General features: G+C 42.7%; 1 protein-coding gene across 2 annotated transcripts in view, besides 1 other annotated feature; it reads right to left on the bottom strand.

Annotated features, from left to right (window-relative positions):
* Positions 1–15,633, bottom strand: part of VPS13D (vacuolar protein sorting 13 homolog D) — a 282,018-nt gene that overhangs the window by 253,059 nt on the left and 13,326 nt on the right. For both annotated transcript variants that reach the window (NM_015378.4, NM_018156.4), the window contains exons 4-10: positions 14,553–14,743; positions 14,372–14,452; positions 9,650–9,766; positions 5,163–5,267; positions 2,486–2,656; positions 1,902–2,002; positions 886–1,054 (exon numbers count right to left, since the gene is read on the bottom strand). In NM_015378.4, coding sequence (NP_056193.2) covers positions 886–1,054; positions 1,902–2,002; positions 2,486–2,656; positions 5,163–5,267; positions 9,650–9,766; positions 14,372–14,452; positions 14,553–14,743 — 935 coding nt within the window. The remainder of the gene's footprint in view (positions 1–885; positions 1,055–1,901; positions 2,003–2,485; positions 2,657–5,162; positions 5,268–9,649; positions 9,767–14,371; positions 14,453–14,552; positions 14,744–15,633) is intronic.
* Positions 8,530–9,521: an enhancer, noted in NCBI's record as "H3K27ac-H3K4me1 hESC enhancer chr1:12309525-12310516 (GRCh37/hg19 assembly coordinates)". NCBI's record gives its function as "activates a minimal SCP1, AML or CMV promoter by ChIP-STARR-seq in naive H9 embryonic stem cells {active_cell/tissue: H9 hESC(naive)}" and the evidence as "EXISTENCE:reporter gene assay evidence [ECO:0000049][PMID:30033119]".

Below are 15,633 nucleotides of genomic sequence, written 5' to 3'. Positions count from 1 at the left end.
CATAAGGTTCCTGTGTCAGTAACCATGTCTGACACTGATGATAAAAGCATTAGCAAAGTGAATGGGCCACAGCCTCAGGGTGCCGGCAGGAGAGGCACTAACCACTAGGGCTTCAGCATTGCCCTCACTGACCACACAGCAGGTGCTGAAGGGAAAAGTATTCCTTTGTGCTTAGAAGAGTCTACTAAACAAGTGGTTAGTTAAGGGGCAGTACCTGAGCCAAAATCTCAGACACAGTCTAAGCTGCTACTGCAAAAATTGATGCTCACAAAACTGAAATAAAACAAGAAGCAAAGCAATCCCCAATACCTTCCCCCAAAAGAGAGCAGGCAGACAGCTAGAGAAGGGGTGGGGTCCCATGCCAGGGCTCCAGGAGGGGGCATTCTAAGGGCCTTTAGCCCTACTATTAACTAAAACATGAGCTTGCCTTCACCACGTACTTCACCCTTTTCTGCCTAGCCTCTACAACCTAAATATCCAAGGTCAATCAAGTCCACTGGGATTATAGAAAACGTAGGCCAAAGTTCACAGAGATTACAGACTTTGAAGTAAGAGAATTAGGACTGGGATCAGGCTTTGAAGAGAGGCGGGTGACTGTATGAAACAGTCTCTTGAGCTGGGGGGCAGGGGTGTGGGCGCAAAGGCATAGCAGGACCACGGTGTCTTTTCTTCCTCCTACCCCATGGCCCGGCTCTCCTCGGGCAGCAGAAGGTGGAGGATGCTCCTGGCTTAGTTCTCACTCTACTAAGACCAACTCTATCCTATAAAATTTAGCCCCTTTGGCATGGGACTTTATTACTTCACAGATCCCATTTTCTTTAGTCTTTGAGAGAACATTCTTATCTTCTGAATAAGACAAGAAACACAAGACCACAGTCCACTTACCTTGTCATCTGTGGACAGCAGGCCTCCTTTTAACTTGTTGAAATATTTGTCAGTGTAAGATACAGCATCACGAGCGCGGTGCAACATAAAGTCCCAGGTGCAACGTTTCCTCTGCTCTCTGATCTCATACAAGTTAGCATTCAAAGCAAAATACCACCATTCTCGGCAGCTGAAATAGTCCATAACGATGTAATCACTTCTTACAACAAAAGCAACGAAAAGGCTACCAATCCAGGACAATCCACATAACCCCACTCCTCTCCTGAGACATCTTTTCTCTTGTCAGCCACCAGTTTATATATTAAGTTCGTCTTAATATTAAACCACTAGGTGGAGAAGGCAAATCTGCCAAAGAACATCAAATAATAGATCCCCAATTTATATATCAATAACACAGTTCTCAATTGGTTTGAATTATAATATCCCTCCCCTCTACTGACAGAATATCGAAGGCTGACTGTAAGGTAAATACCATCTTAAGATAATTACCGAGGATTTGACTACTAAAGATTTTTAAGTGAATACTTCTAACTAAAGACATGGAAATACATAGGATCTTTAAAAAGCTTTATTATATCAGACTGGTCAAGTTTATCACTGCAACATGAAAACAGGATTTAGTTTTGCTATGGAGGCTGCAAAGAGTACTATGTAAATGTTGACCAAACAACCTGGGAGAAAAAACACAGGGAAGTAGGTTCAAAGAATATTTAAAGTATTTATAATACACACCAGATCCCACCAGAGCAACATCAGTCTACTTGCTAAATGAGACTGAGAGGATCCTCTGAATTTTACTACACTCAGTCTAAGAGTAAGCCAATGACACCAAATAAATATACAGAAAGAATATCAATGATGATAAACAATGGGAATGGCATTCCAAGGACCAGAAAAATCAACTGTACTTTTATCTCCAAACATGGGTAAAGGACAGTGAGGCATATTTCTGATCTATGTACATAGCAAGAACAGGCTCTAACATGAATTTCATGACCACACTGAGAAGCCCTTACTTCTTAGATATCGCCACCTTGGGTTTCCACCTTCGGAACTTCACCTGCCTCTCCTTTCGTTCCAGCTCCTTGAGGAATTCCATGATTTGCCGGTATTGCAGCTTTGTATTAGAGGTTAAGAGATACTAGGTTAGAATAGGTTTGTTTCTTTTACTCAGTTAAGACCTATATCTAACAAGAACAATTCACATTAGTTGATCCACTGAATTGAAACCCAGTGCAAACTGAAAGACCAAAATATCAGCATCAAGTGACATGTTTCTCTGAACCCTGACAGTTAAGCCTATACATTGCCGTATCTCTTGTATTTTTTGTTCAGCTCTTAAAAATACCAAAACAAAACTAGCCTCCTTTCCAATCCATACCACCAACTAATTAAAAAAAAAAAAAAAAAAAACTAACCTGAGATCAACCCAATTTAACTATGTAACAGACGGTGAGTTTTATACCTAACACAACTTTAGTCTGGAGGGAAATGGTCTCACATGAACTTTCTTTCCTGCTGAGGATACGTTAATATCAAGACTTTCACTGCAGTCACCAGTTTGACAGTAAGTAGATGCCACTGAGAAGAAAGGGCATACCTGAGAGAGTTTCAAGGGAATGGTCTCCAGCTGAATATCACAATCAATACGGGGACTGTGCCGAGACCGCAGGGGCTTCTTGGAGCAGTTTCTCTTCAAAAGAGCAGATGCAAACACAGGCTCCAGGACGTAGTGATGGCTGCGACTCTCCATGCTCCTGGCCATGGCCTCCTGTGTGTCACAAGAACACCTGCTCTGCTCCGAATGGCTTTCCTTCTGGTAGTCACTCTTTTACAATGTTGGGGTTTTATGACAAACAGTGGAGCTCAGCCATAGGCTGTGTCACAGCGGCAAATATTTTTGTCTGTTTTGTTTTTATTCATTTTTATTCTTTTTATATAGGGACAGGATCTCACTATATTGCCCTGTCTGGTCTTGAACCCCAAGGCTCAAGTGATCCTCCCACCTCCCAAAGTGCTGAGATTACAGGCATGAGTCACTGTGCCTGGCCAACAGCAAATGTTTTTAGGATCAAGTTACATGTTGGTATGTTATCTAATCAATAGTGTATTATATCAAAATCCAAAAACACTATAAAACTGGGTTATAAAACTCTCTAGTATTTTTAATTTATTATTATTTATATTTCTTTTTTCTTTCTTTTTTTTTTTTTTTGAGACGAGTCTTGCTCTGTTGCCAGGCTGGAGTGCAGTGATGCAATCTCGGCTCACTGCAACCTCCGACTCCCCGGTTTAAGCAATTTTCCTACTTCTGCCTCTCGAGTAGCTGGGATTATAGGCATGCACCCCCATGCCCAGCTAATTTTTTTATTTTTAGTACAGATGGGGTTTCACCATGTTGGCCAGGATGGTCTCGATCTCCTGACCTTGTGATCCGCCCACCTCAGTCTCCCAAGTGCTGGGATTACAGGCGTGAGCCACCACGCCCAACCTTTATATTTCTTAATAGGTAATACACTCACATCGTTTAAAATTTTAAAGGAAAAAAAAAAGGTCAAATATCTCTTTCCTAGTCTCATCCCCCAGCCACCCACTTACCTCCTCAGAGGCAACCAACGACATCAGCTTCTTATGTCTCCCACCCAAGCCATTCTGTACATATGCAGATAAACCTGTAATTTTCTGTTTTCTTAAATAAATGCTATATATGCTGTTTTTACCTTAGTTTGTTTAACTTCATACTATATGTTAGAGACTGTTACATACTCATCATAAAGATCTTTACCTTTATTATTTATAGCTGCATATTGTTTTACTGTATGGATACAGGTTTATGTAATCGAATTAAAACAAAAACCTGCCGGGCATGGTGACTCACGCCTGTAATCCCAGCACTTTGTGAAGCCGAGGCAGGTGTATCACCTGAGGTCAGGAGTTCAAGACCAGCCTGGCCAACATGGCGAAACCTCGTCTCTACTAAAAATACAAAAATTAGCTGGGCGTGGTGGCATGCACCTGTAATCCCAGCTACTCAGGAGGCTGAGGCAGGAGAATCACTTGAACCCGGGAGGTGGAGGTTGCAGTGAGCCAAGATCGTGCCACTGCACTCCAGCCCGGGCAACCGAGCGAGATGCCGTCTCAAAAAAAAAAAAAGAAGAAAGCCATCATGTACAATAGTATCCAAGTGAAAGATAACCCTGGGTGGAGGAAAAAAATGAGTTATTTTCCCCCGTTTCACTTAAACCACCTACAAATTATTTACAGAAGGATTAAACTGGCCGGGTGTGGTAGCTCACACCTGTAATCCCAGCACTTTCGGAGGCCAAGGCGGGTGGATCACTTGAGGTCAGGAGTTCGAGACCAGCCGGCCTGGCCAATATGGCGAAACCCCATCTCTACTAAAAATACAAACATTAGCTGGGCATGTTGGTGGGCACCAGTAAACCCAGCTATTTGGGAGGCTGAGGCAGGAGAATTGCTTCCATCTGGGAGGCAAAGATCTCAGTGAGCCAAGATTACGCCACTGCACTCCAGCCTGGGTGACAGAGCGAGACTCCATCTCAAAAAAAAAAAAAAAAAAAAAAAAAAAAGATTGAGATTTTTTTAATCCTTCACAAACAATAATATATCTGATGATTTATGACTTTTTAAATATCACTTAAGGGAATGCCACCAAAGGTGAAGTTTAAACATAAATGTGGTAAGAAAGTTCCTCTTTAAGATTCAGTCCTGGTGCTCTGTTCATTTAAAATCTGGATGCCTAGGCCGGGTGTGGGGGCTCATGCCTATAATCCCAGCACTTTGGGAGGCCAAAGCAGGAGGATTGCTTGAGCACAAGAGTTTGAGACCAGCATGGACAACAGAGTGAGACCCCATCTCTACAAAAATAAATAAATAAATGATGGAAAACATCTCGATGTGTAAGTATGTTACGTGAACATGCAAACGGTGGAATACTATGCAGTGGTCAGAGCAATGAATTGGAAGTACAAACAGCAACATCTTAAAAACATAGCTTTCACTGAATAAAATAAACCAAAGAAAACTATAGTCTAGTATAAATTTAAAACATACATAAAACAAAGCACTATATATTGTTCGAAGTCACATACATAGCAAGTACCTCAAGCAAACACACTTGAGAGTGAATGGCTTTAGAGGAACAGTGGGTGGGAACTGGAATCAGAGAGGCAAGAGACAAAAGCCCCCGTGGCAGTGACCCTACGCCGCTTCCCTTCCATGCTGTCTTGCAACAAATCTCCCTGCCGAAATCGTACCTGTAACTCCATCTGAGGCAAATCCCCCAGTAAAGTGCAATCGACATCCCAATAGATGCTAAATTCTGCTACGTCTAATTGCTTTTTCCGCATTAGTTTCTGTACCTGAGGTAAAAAAGACAAAGAAGAAAATAGGATGACTGTCTTTATTCGTGAATGTCATTCATTCAACAAACCATTTGTAAAGAATCATGTGTCAGGTACTTTGCAAGGTGCTGTGGACATATAACTCAATTAAAACATGCTTCTGCTCTTACAGAGTTCAAAATCTAGCTAACTGGCGATACAAACAGGCAAATACATAATTTTAATGACACAGAGGGAAGCAGAAGAAGAATCTATACGATGCTATGAGCAAACAAGAAAACGTCACTGTGCAAATGAGTGTCGAAAGATATATAAGTTTCAGGCAAATGGTCGGGTAGGAGGAAAGGGCTGGGTCAACCATACAGTCCTCCCTCAGTATCAGCAGGGAGTTGGTTCCAGGAACCTCAAAGATACAAAAATCTGCAAATGCTCAAGTCTCTTAAAAAGGCATAGTATTTGCGTATAACCTACCCATATATCCTCCCTGTACACTTTAAATCATCTCTAGATTACTTATAATAACTAATACAACATAAATGCTATGTAAATCATTGTTATACAGAATTTTTTTTTTTTTTTTTGAGATGGAGTTTCGATCTTGTTGCCCAGGCTGGAGTACAACGGCACGATCTCGGCTCACCGCAACCCCCACCTCCCAGGTTCAAGTGATTCTCCTGCCTCAGCCTCCCGAATAGCTGGGATTACAGGCATGCATCACCATGCCCGGCTAACTTTGTATTTTTAGTAGAGACAGGGTTTTTCCATGTTGGCCAGGCTGGTCTTGAACTCCTGACCTCAGGTGATCCACCCGTCTCGGCCTCCCAAAGTGCTGGGATTACAGGCATGAGCCACCACGCCCAGTCCTGAATTTTTTTTTATATTATTTTTTGTTGTTATATTTTTCTTTTTATTGTTTGTTTTTTAGGGGGAGGGGGAATATTTTCTTCTCTTGTTTTTTTTTTTTTTTGGAGACAGAATCTCACTCTGTCACCCAGGCTGGAGTGCAGTGGCATGATCTCAGCTCACTGCAACCTTCACTTCCCAGGTTCAAGCGATTCTCCTGCCTCAGCCTCCCAAGTAGCTGGGACTACAGGTATATGCCACCATGCCTGGCTAATTTTTTTATTTTTAATAGAGATGGGGTTTCATCATGTTTCCCAGACTGGTCTTGAACTCCTGAACTCAGGCGATCTGCCCGCCTCGGCCTCCCAAAGTGCTGGGATTACAGGCGTGAGCCACTGCACCCAGCCAGTGGGGGAGTATTTTCCGATCCTCTGTTGGTGGAATCCATGGATATGGAACCTGAGGATATGGAAGGGTGACCGTACAAAAGGCCTGATATCTTCAGGGAACAGTGAGTCTGTCTGTACAACTGGAACACTGGATGTGTGCGGTGGGGGCAGTATTGGTACATGTGGATGAATACATATTTGGGATGAGGAGTTAGCTAAGAGTTGAGAAAAGTAGCTTGGAATGTTACTAGATACACTAGGTTGAATAGTGTCTTCCCTTCCCAAAACAAAGTCATAACCACACAGAAGCGTGTATGTAACCTTATTCGAAAATTAGGTCTTTGCAGATGTAATCAAATTAAGAGGTCATACTGGTTTAGTGGAGGCCCTAATCTAACGAGTATTGTCCTTACAAGAAGAAAAAGGACACAAGGAGAAGGCCACATGAAGACGGAGGCAGAGGCTGCGTGAAGCACCTGCAAGCTGAGCAATCTCAATGACCGTCAGCAGCCACTAGACAAGGAGAGACGCATGGGACGGTTTCTCCCTCAGAGCCTCCAGAAGGGACTGATCAGCCACAACCCCTTGACTTCAGACCTCTCGTCTAGAGAATAAATTTATGTTGCTTTAAGCCATCTGGTTTGTGGCAATGTGTTAGGGCTGCCCTGGTTATCAAATCCATTAGGAAAGGAAGTTTATGCCATGCTAAGGTGTTTGGACTTCAGGCCTTAGGTGATGCGGAGCTGCTGAACGTTTTGATGCAGGCAGATACCACAATCAGGTATGTTTCAGAAAAAGAAGTCTGGTGACAGTGTAAAGTAGGGCTTTCCCTTCAGTGTGCCAGGAAAAAAAAAGTTATGAGTGTCTCAAGTATGAGCCAGTGTATGGGATCAAGTTACATCTTAGAAACGTGGTTACTCTCAGCTGGCCGCTTCCAGCCCCAAGCAGCCACAGCCATTTGCCCCGGTGTACTGTACAAATACTATCTTTTTACTGTGTGGGTCCTGACATGGAAAACACTGGAAAGCATTGGTATAGGACAAATGGAAAGATCCTGGAGATCACAGAACAGGGAATTTCATTAGTCCAGGTAAAACCTGACAGCATCCTGCAAGGTGACGGTCATATGAGGATGGACAGGAAGAGCTATGTTTGAGATGCTTTGTCAGAAAAAGTAGCACGACACTGTGAATAACTAGATATGGAAACTGAAGCATAAGAAGTGAAAGGAGGAGCACACAGCTTCTAGAGATCAGTGTGGCAGGCAGGAGCACAGGGTGAGGAGCAGGGATGGCACGCTCTTCCATAAAGGGCCACAGAGTCAACAGCTTAGGCTCTGCAGGCCATGCAGTCTCTGCTGCAACTACACTACTCCACCGTGGACAACACTAATGAGCATGGCAGAGTCAACAGCTTAGGCTCTGCAGGCCATGCAGTCTCTGCTGCAACTACACTACTCCACCGTGGACAACACTAATGAGCATGGCAGAGTCAACAGCTTAGGCTCTGCAGGCCATGCAGTCTCTGCTGCAACTACACTACTCCACCGTGGACAACACTAATGAGCATGGCAGAGTCAACAGCTTAGGCTCTGCAGGCCATGCAGTCTCTGCTGCAACTACACTACTCCACCGTGGACAACACTAATGAGCATGGCTGGGATCTAATAAACCTTTATTTACAAAAACAGATGGGGAACCAGACTCGGCCACCGGCCAGTGTGCCAAGCCCTAACTTAGAGCTGGTCCACCCAGGTTCAAGACCTGGCTCCACTTTTCACTCCGCCTCTCGTGCCGTAGTGTCCTCAGTAGGGTTATTAGGATAACAGCAGTGGTGAAAATCAAGGAGAATTAAATGAGTTAAATCATGGAAAGTGCTAAGAACAGTGCCTGCCATATAAAAGGGCTCAAAACTGTTATTGTTGGTTTTTACATTCAGTAACGTTAGGGAATAAAGAAAAATACGTCATTTAGGGGACAAAATGGGCAGATGGAATACACAGGATCATTCTAGTTATGACAAGCTGTGGCATACATGAAATATATTTGGTCTTTTTCCCTGGTTCCTGGCACAGAATTCCTAAAACCCTTGGAAGTTCCTGACAGGAGTGTCATTGTTGTTCATAAAAAGCCTCATGATCACACCCCAGTATATGCTAATTAAGTGACTTTTGTTGGGGTCCCTAGACAGGCTCAAGATGGGGCTCATCACAGAAAGATCAAGTAATTAGAGGGTTGGGCCTTTCAGCACCACTCACTGACCTCTGGGTGATGGGGCTGGAGATTAAGCTGCATAAAAACTTTGAACCATGAGATCTGCTGAGCTTCCAGGTTGCTGAACACTGGAGGGGGGTGTGGCCCTCTTTATCTAGATATTCACCTGTATCCTCATAACACCGTTTATTATAAACCAGCAAATGTAAGTAAAGTGTTTCCCTGAGTTCTGTGAGCCATCCTAGCAAATTACCAAACCTGAGGAGGGGAACTGTGGGAACTCCAACTTCTAGTCAGAAGCACCGGTCACAACCTGGGCCTTGTGACTGGCATCTGAAGTGGGAGGCGGTCCTATGGGACTAAGCCCTTACCCAGCGGGGTCTGCAGTAACCCATTAGTGTCAGAATTGACTTGAACTATAGGACACTGAGTTGATATGTGGAGAACTGCTTGGCGTGTGGGGGAAAATCCTCACACGTCTGGTGTCAAAAGTGTTGTTTTTTGTGTAGAGTGTGAAGAAACAGAGTGTGTTTTGAGACAAGCAGTAGTTTTAAGAAAACCACGAATATGAAGGTCAAAGGGTGGAGAATGGAGTTCAAGATGTGGAAGCCATCATCAAATATTCCCAGGTGGTAGCTACAACTATGAAACACAGTGAGTTTACCCAGGGAGTGTACATAACACGAGAAAAAAATCAAAAATAAAATCCTTTCTGCCCCTCAGTTTCTTCATGTATAAAATGAAAGTGATATAACCAAAGGTCAGAGAAAATTACCTGTTTCCCTATTTCAGCAAATTTGATTTGTTGCAAATACACAAGAGACACCCATGCCTATCACAGAAGGCAATGGAAAAGAATGTGATTCATTTACATAACACAAAATGGCAAAAGGCAGAGCCCCAGATTCCTAGAGCATGGCTTTCTTCCTGCTTTGTCATCACATTTCATACTCACAGGCTCATTCACAGCATTTTGCATGGACACATTCTTAATGCAGATGCCAAAAGCAAAAGGATGGGAGGGATTGGTGACACCATCTTCAAAGCGTAAATGGACATCTTGAATTTTTAACTGCAAAGAGAAAAAAGAAAAAGCAGCTGATGCACCTGCAGAATAGTGTTCCAAAGAAAAGAAAAAAGAAAAAGCATTTAGATAACTGCTGTAGGTGAAATACTATAGTTAGGGGTCAAACTGCCCTTGAGCCACTAAAGGAAACCACACCAGGCACTTTATACAAACACAACACACACATATCCAGTGTCCTATAAGTTCCTAAGGGAGTTATAATAACTCTCTTGTTATGTTATGTTATAATATGTTATATTATGTTATGTTATATTATGTTATCATAACTCTCTTGAATGTTACTTTGTGATTAGTTTTACCAAAAGAGCTCCAATACTTTCATTAAATCATTTCAGAAGACACCTTAAAAAAAAGCAATTAAAGAAAGCAAAGCCATTGTATACAGACAATTGTTCCTCTTGCTCTGTTGATATCTTCATCTTGCCTCTATGTCCCCACATCTGGACCAAGGAAACCAGCAAGGCACATAAACTATGTATGTATATATGTATTTCCCCTAGCCCCTCCCTGTAAGTGGGCTACAGGAAAGGCACTCTGCTTCAATGAATTAAAAAATAATAACAGGTTGAGCACAGTGATTCATGCCTATAATCCCAGCACTCTGGGAAGCTGAGGCAGGAATATTACTTGAACCCAAGAGTTAGAGACCAGCCTAGGCAACATAGCAAGACCTCACTTCTACTAAAAATTTTTTTTAAATAGCCAGGTATGGTGGCACGAGCCTGCAGTCTCAGCTACTCAGGAGGCTGAGGCAGGAGGATTGTTTGAGCCCATGAGATGGAGGCTGCAGTAAGGTATGATGGTGCCACTGCACTCCAGCCTAGGCAACGGAGTGAGATTATGTCTTAATAATAACAATAATAATAATAATAATAATAATAACAGAAAGTAAAAAGACAATCCACAGAATGGGAGAAAGTACTTGCAAATCTGATAAGAATCTGGTATTCAGAATATATAGAGAGCTCTTATAACTCAACAATAAAAAGATAAACTGATTTGTAAAATAGGCAAAGGATGGCCAGGCACGGTGGATCATGCCTGTAATCCCAGCACTTTGGGAGGCCGAGGCAGTCGGATCACCTGAGGTCAGGAGTTAGAGACCAGACTGGCCAACATGGTGAAACCCCGTCTCTATTAAAAACACAAAAAATTAGCGGGGCGTGGTGGCAGGCACCTGTAGTCTCAGCTACTTGGGAGGCTGAGGCAGGAGAATGGCATGAACCCGGGAGGCGGAGTTTGCAGTGAGCCGGGATCACGCCACTGCACTGCACTCCAGCCTGGGCAACAGAGCAACACTGTCTCAAAAAAAAAAAAAAAATACAAAAATACAAAACTTAGCCAGGCATGATAGCGCAGGCCTGTAATCCCAGCTACTCGTGAGGCTGAGCCAGGAGAATCGCTTGAATCCGGGAGGCGGAGGTTGCAGTGAGCCGAGATCACGCCACCACATTCCAGCCTGAGCAACAGAGGGAGACTCCGTCTCAAAAAAAAAAAAAAAAAATTGTGGCAAAGGATTCAAATAGACATTTCTCCAAAAAAAAGATACACAAGTGGCCAGTAAATACACGGAAAAATATTCAGTATCCTTCGCCATTAAGAAAATGCAAATCGAAATCATAGCAAGATCATCATTTCACACCCACTAGTACACAATGAATAATAAATGTTTGCTTTTTGTTTTTGTTTTTTTTGGGTTTTTTTTGGGTTTTTTTTAATTTTTTTCTTTCTGTCCTGAATGGTGTTAGAGAGAATGCTATCTCACCATTTCTGCAGGCTTTTTTTTTTTTTGAGATGGAGTCTCGCTTTGTCGCCCAGGCTGGAGTGCAATGGTGTGATCTTGGCTCACTGCAACCTCCGTCTCCCGGGTTCAAGCGACTTTCCTGCCTCAGCCTCCCCACCAAGTAGCTGGGACGACACGCACATGCCACCATGTCTAGCTAATTTTGTATTTTTAGCAGAGACGGGGTTTCACCAGGCTGGTCTCGATCTCCTGACCTCAAGCAATCCGCCTGCCTTGGCCTCCCAAAGTGCTGGGATTACAGGCGTGCCCAGCCCCATAATCAATAATAAATGTTGATGAGGATATGGAGAAACAAAATGCTCATACATTGCTGGTGATATCGTAAAATAGTGCAGCCTCTTTGGAAAACAGTTTGGTAGTTCCTCAAAAAGTAAACAGAGTTACCCCATAATTCCTCAATTCTACTCCAAGATATCTATTTGAGACAACTGAAAACATGTTCACCCAAAACCCTATACACAAATGTTTACAGCAATATTATTCGTAATAGCAAAAAGGAGAACCAACCCAAATGTCCAGCAACTCATGAATGAATAAACAAAATGTCGTATGTCCTGAGAAACGCAAGGACTCTCAGCAAGAACATTCCATTCCAAAGAGACTTGACCAAACTTTAATATGGCTTCTGGCAGCCCGAGGCCATGTCCCTGGGGACAACACAGTCCTCTACTGAGTTCTTGCCTGGTAAAGCTCAGGACTATCAAAAGAACGTACCCTTTATTCCAGACAACACCTGACACAGGCCCCTGACCTTCCTTTCTTATAGCACGTTTACTGAAAAGGGTTTATAGGTTTGCAGAGCAATTCAACTGTGACATTTCTCTGAGAGATGTATATGTACAGGTCACGTATCCCTTATCTGAAAGGCTTGGGACAAGAAGTGTTCCGGATTTCATTTTTGGGGGGGATTTTGAAATATTTGCATTATACTTAACTGGCTGAGTATCCCAAATCCAAAAATCCAAACTCCAAAATGCTCCAATGAGCATTTCCTTTGAGTATCATGTGGGCACTCAAAAAGTTTCAAACTTTGGAGGATTTCAGATTTTCAGATTTGGGATACTCGACCTGTATCTCCTACAGCTCAGGAGTGTCTTTCTTAAGGACCTGAAAGCCACTCCTTTGAAATGTAATCATCAGGAAGGGTAAGGCTCAATCTCCCAGTCTGAGGGAGGATAGAATCCTAACTTTGATCACTGCCAGCGGACACAGTTAGCCTAATGACATTCACAGCGACCAACGCCTTGTAATTTTTCACTTGAGTACCCACTCACTCCACCTCCCTGCACCCTCAAGCTCTCTTTAAAAGGCCCAGCTACCTCCACACAAGTCAGCCTGGAGCTCAGCTCTTTCCTCTACTGTCAGTAGTTACAGAGTAAAATCTGTTTTCATTGCTCTGAGGTCCAGCTTTGTTTAATCTTTGACAATCCATACAATGGAATATATGATTCAGTCATAAAAAGGAATAAAGTGCTGACACATGCTACTACACAGATGACCCTTGAAAACATTATGTCAAGTGAAAATGGCCAGGCTATATATTACATGATTCCATTTAGATGAAATGTCTACAATAGGCAAATCTAGAAAGAAAGTAGATTAGTGATTGACAGGGGCTGAAGGCAGAGGGGAATTGGCAATGACTACTTTTTTAAATTATTATTTTTTTTTTAAGATACAGGGTTTTGGTCTGTTGCCCAGAATGGGGTGCAGGGGCACTATTATAGCTCACTACAGCCTTGCAGCCCAACTCCTCGGCTCAAGTCATCCTCTTGCCCCAGCCTCCCAAGTAGCTGGGATTACAGGTACATGCCACGAAGCCCAGCTTTGGCAGTGACTACCTGTTGGGATGATAAAAATGTTCTGGAATTATTTAGTGGTGACCAACGCACAACCTTGTAAATATACTAAAAAACATTAAATTGTACACTTTAAAAGACTGAACTTTCTGGCATAAGAACTATATCTCAATAAAACTACTTAAACTAAGATAAAATGAAAATAATGACTAATATTTTATAAATTTGTTTGTCAAAGGAAAGTTACGAAATCAAAAACCTCAGACTGTAATTTTTGGGAACATGACATACATTGAACACATTTGGCCTCTGTCACATTGGCACTGCAAGAAACTTCTAGAGGTAGTAAGTATGGACAAACTCTTAAAACATTCACGAAAATTAGTGGGACCCTGATCAAGTTTTTGAGGATGAAACAAAAGTATAATTGAAGTAGAAAACATGGGCAAGGTCAACAGCCCCAGTCCTGTAACTCGTCAAATTGCCACCAGATACACCAGCAAGAGGTTAGGTATCTTAGTGAGCTGTTCGCAATTTCACAACTCACTATGTAACCAACTAGAGACCAGGCATCCAACCTCTCTCTTTTACAGATGAAGAAACTGAGACCAGAGAGGTGAAGTGATTTACCCTGAAACCATACAGTCATCAAGGTCAAGTAACCTGGATTCTTAGGCCATAAATCCTTGAGCAAGTGGGATTCCAACATTCAAAAAGAAAGTGCGGGAAGTGAAATGGAAGAGATGTGAAAACTCCTCCTCATGCCAGCAGAAACAAGAAAACTCTGTGTCTGCCACAGAGCCTAGGACTTGCTTGTCAGGTTTTCCTCTTGGCACAGCCTACAAAAGGGCAGACCTGAGCAGCCAGCCCCATCTACACCCTAGATCAGCTGAGCCCACGAGAAATGAGAAACTAAGAGGAGAAACACGTTTAAACCTGAGAAATCCCTTTCACGTTGATACTTTTATAAAAGTCAGCAGGACTTACTTCAATATTCTCCACAATCCTTGTAACTACGGAGGCGGTAACTGAATACCAATAGGACTCCCCTTTCTGCTGGCGGTCATTCTACAAAGACAAGAGTCAGCATTAGCTCAATCTAGTGTTCTTGCTCATCTTACACGTGTCACCACAACTGCTCTTATGGCCCAGAAGATCTCTGCCTTGCCTTCCATTTCTCCTCCAGGGCTTGAAGTAGTGCTTTCTTACGTTCCCTTTCCAACAGCTTCTCCTTTTCATCATTGAAATCCTGTATTTTCTCTGGGGCTCCAATTAAGTGAAGGCTGGAGATGGAGATCACCCAAGGGTCCACATGGGGGCGATAAAAGGGAATCTGAAGGGTTACTTTCCCAATGAAGCCTGGAAGGAGAAGGAAAGTCTTGTTCACCATCTGTACACATTTTTAATTCTTTCCATTTTTTGGTATTTTTACAATTTTGTTTAAGGAGCATGGATTGCTGTTACTACTTTTTTTTATTTAAAACAACAGGCAGCAGGCTCTTGCACATGTGAAACAAGTGTTAGGAGGCTGACATCTGTAAGAATAAGGTATAATGACTTATATAAGCTGGAAAAAGTTCGCGAAGACTTTACCACATCAACAGTAACATCCCTCCTCTAGAAACTATCTCCTTTTCCAACTGGAGTACATCTTACACTTGCTCAGGGTGTCTTTCTTCCCCGGGTCCCGCACAAGCCCATGGACACTAAACTCATTTCTTGTTCATTAGTCATTGTCTGGTTGATAAGCACTAGTTGGAGTCATCAGACCTATGATATATTCAATCTTGAACATACCCACCACAAACTGAAACATAGGTAAATGGTGCTGGCCTTCTCTCAATAAAGAATTCTGATGCTTCATGAGAACCTGGGCTGATGAGAAAGCCAAACGGCTCGGTAGAATTGTGATATTTATTTCCCAAGTTCTTCCATTTCTAGCCAAGCCTCCTAGAATACAAGCTTTCTTTATGTTCAATTTATAAGAGTCAAGCAGTGTTGCCCAGGCTGGTCTTGAACTCCTGGCCTCAAGTGATCCTCCTGCCTCAGCCTCCCAAAGTGCTGGGATTCCAGGTGAAAGCCACCAAGTCCAGTCCAACAATGGTATTTTTAATGACAACATCAAATGATCAACCGTGTAATCCAGTAATAAATTCAGAAATTTAGCCAAGCTTGGTGGCACGCAGCTGTATTCAACTATTCCAACTAATAGCTGGGGAAGCTGAGGCAGGAGGATCTCTTTAGCCTGG

This window comes from Homo sapiens, chromosome 1 (assembly GCF_000001405.40).
Source record: "Homo sapiens chromosome 1, GRCh38.p14 Primary Assembly".
In the NCBI taxonomy this organism is placed as follows: domain Eukaryota; kingdom Metazoa; phylum Chordata; class Mammalia; order Primates; family Hominidae; genus Homo; species Homo sapiens.
The sequence above is the reverse complement of the archived record's forward strand: the minus strand, read 5'-3'. Positions and strand labels throughout refer to the sequence as shown.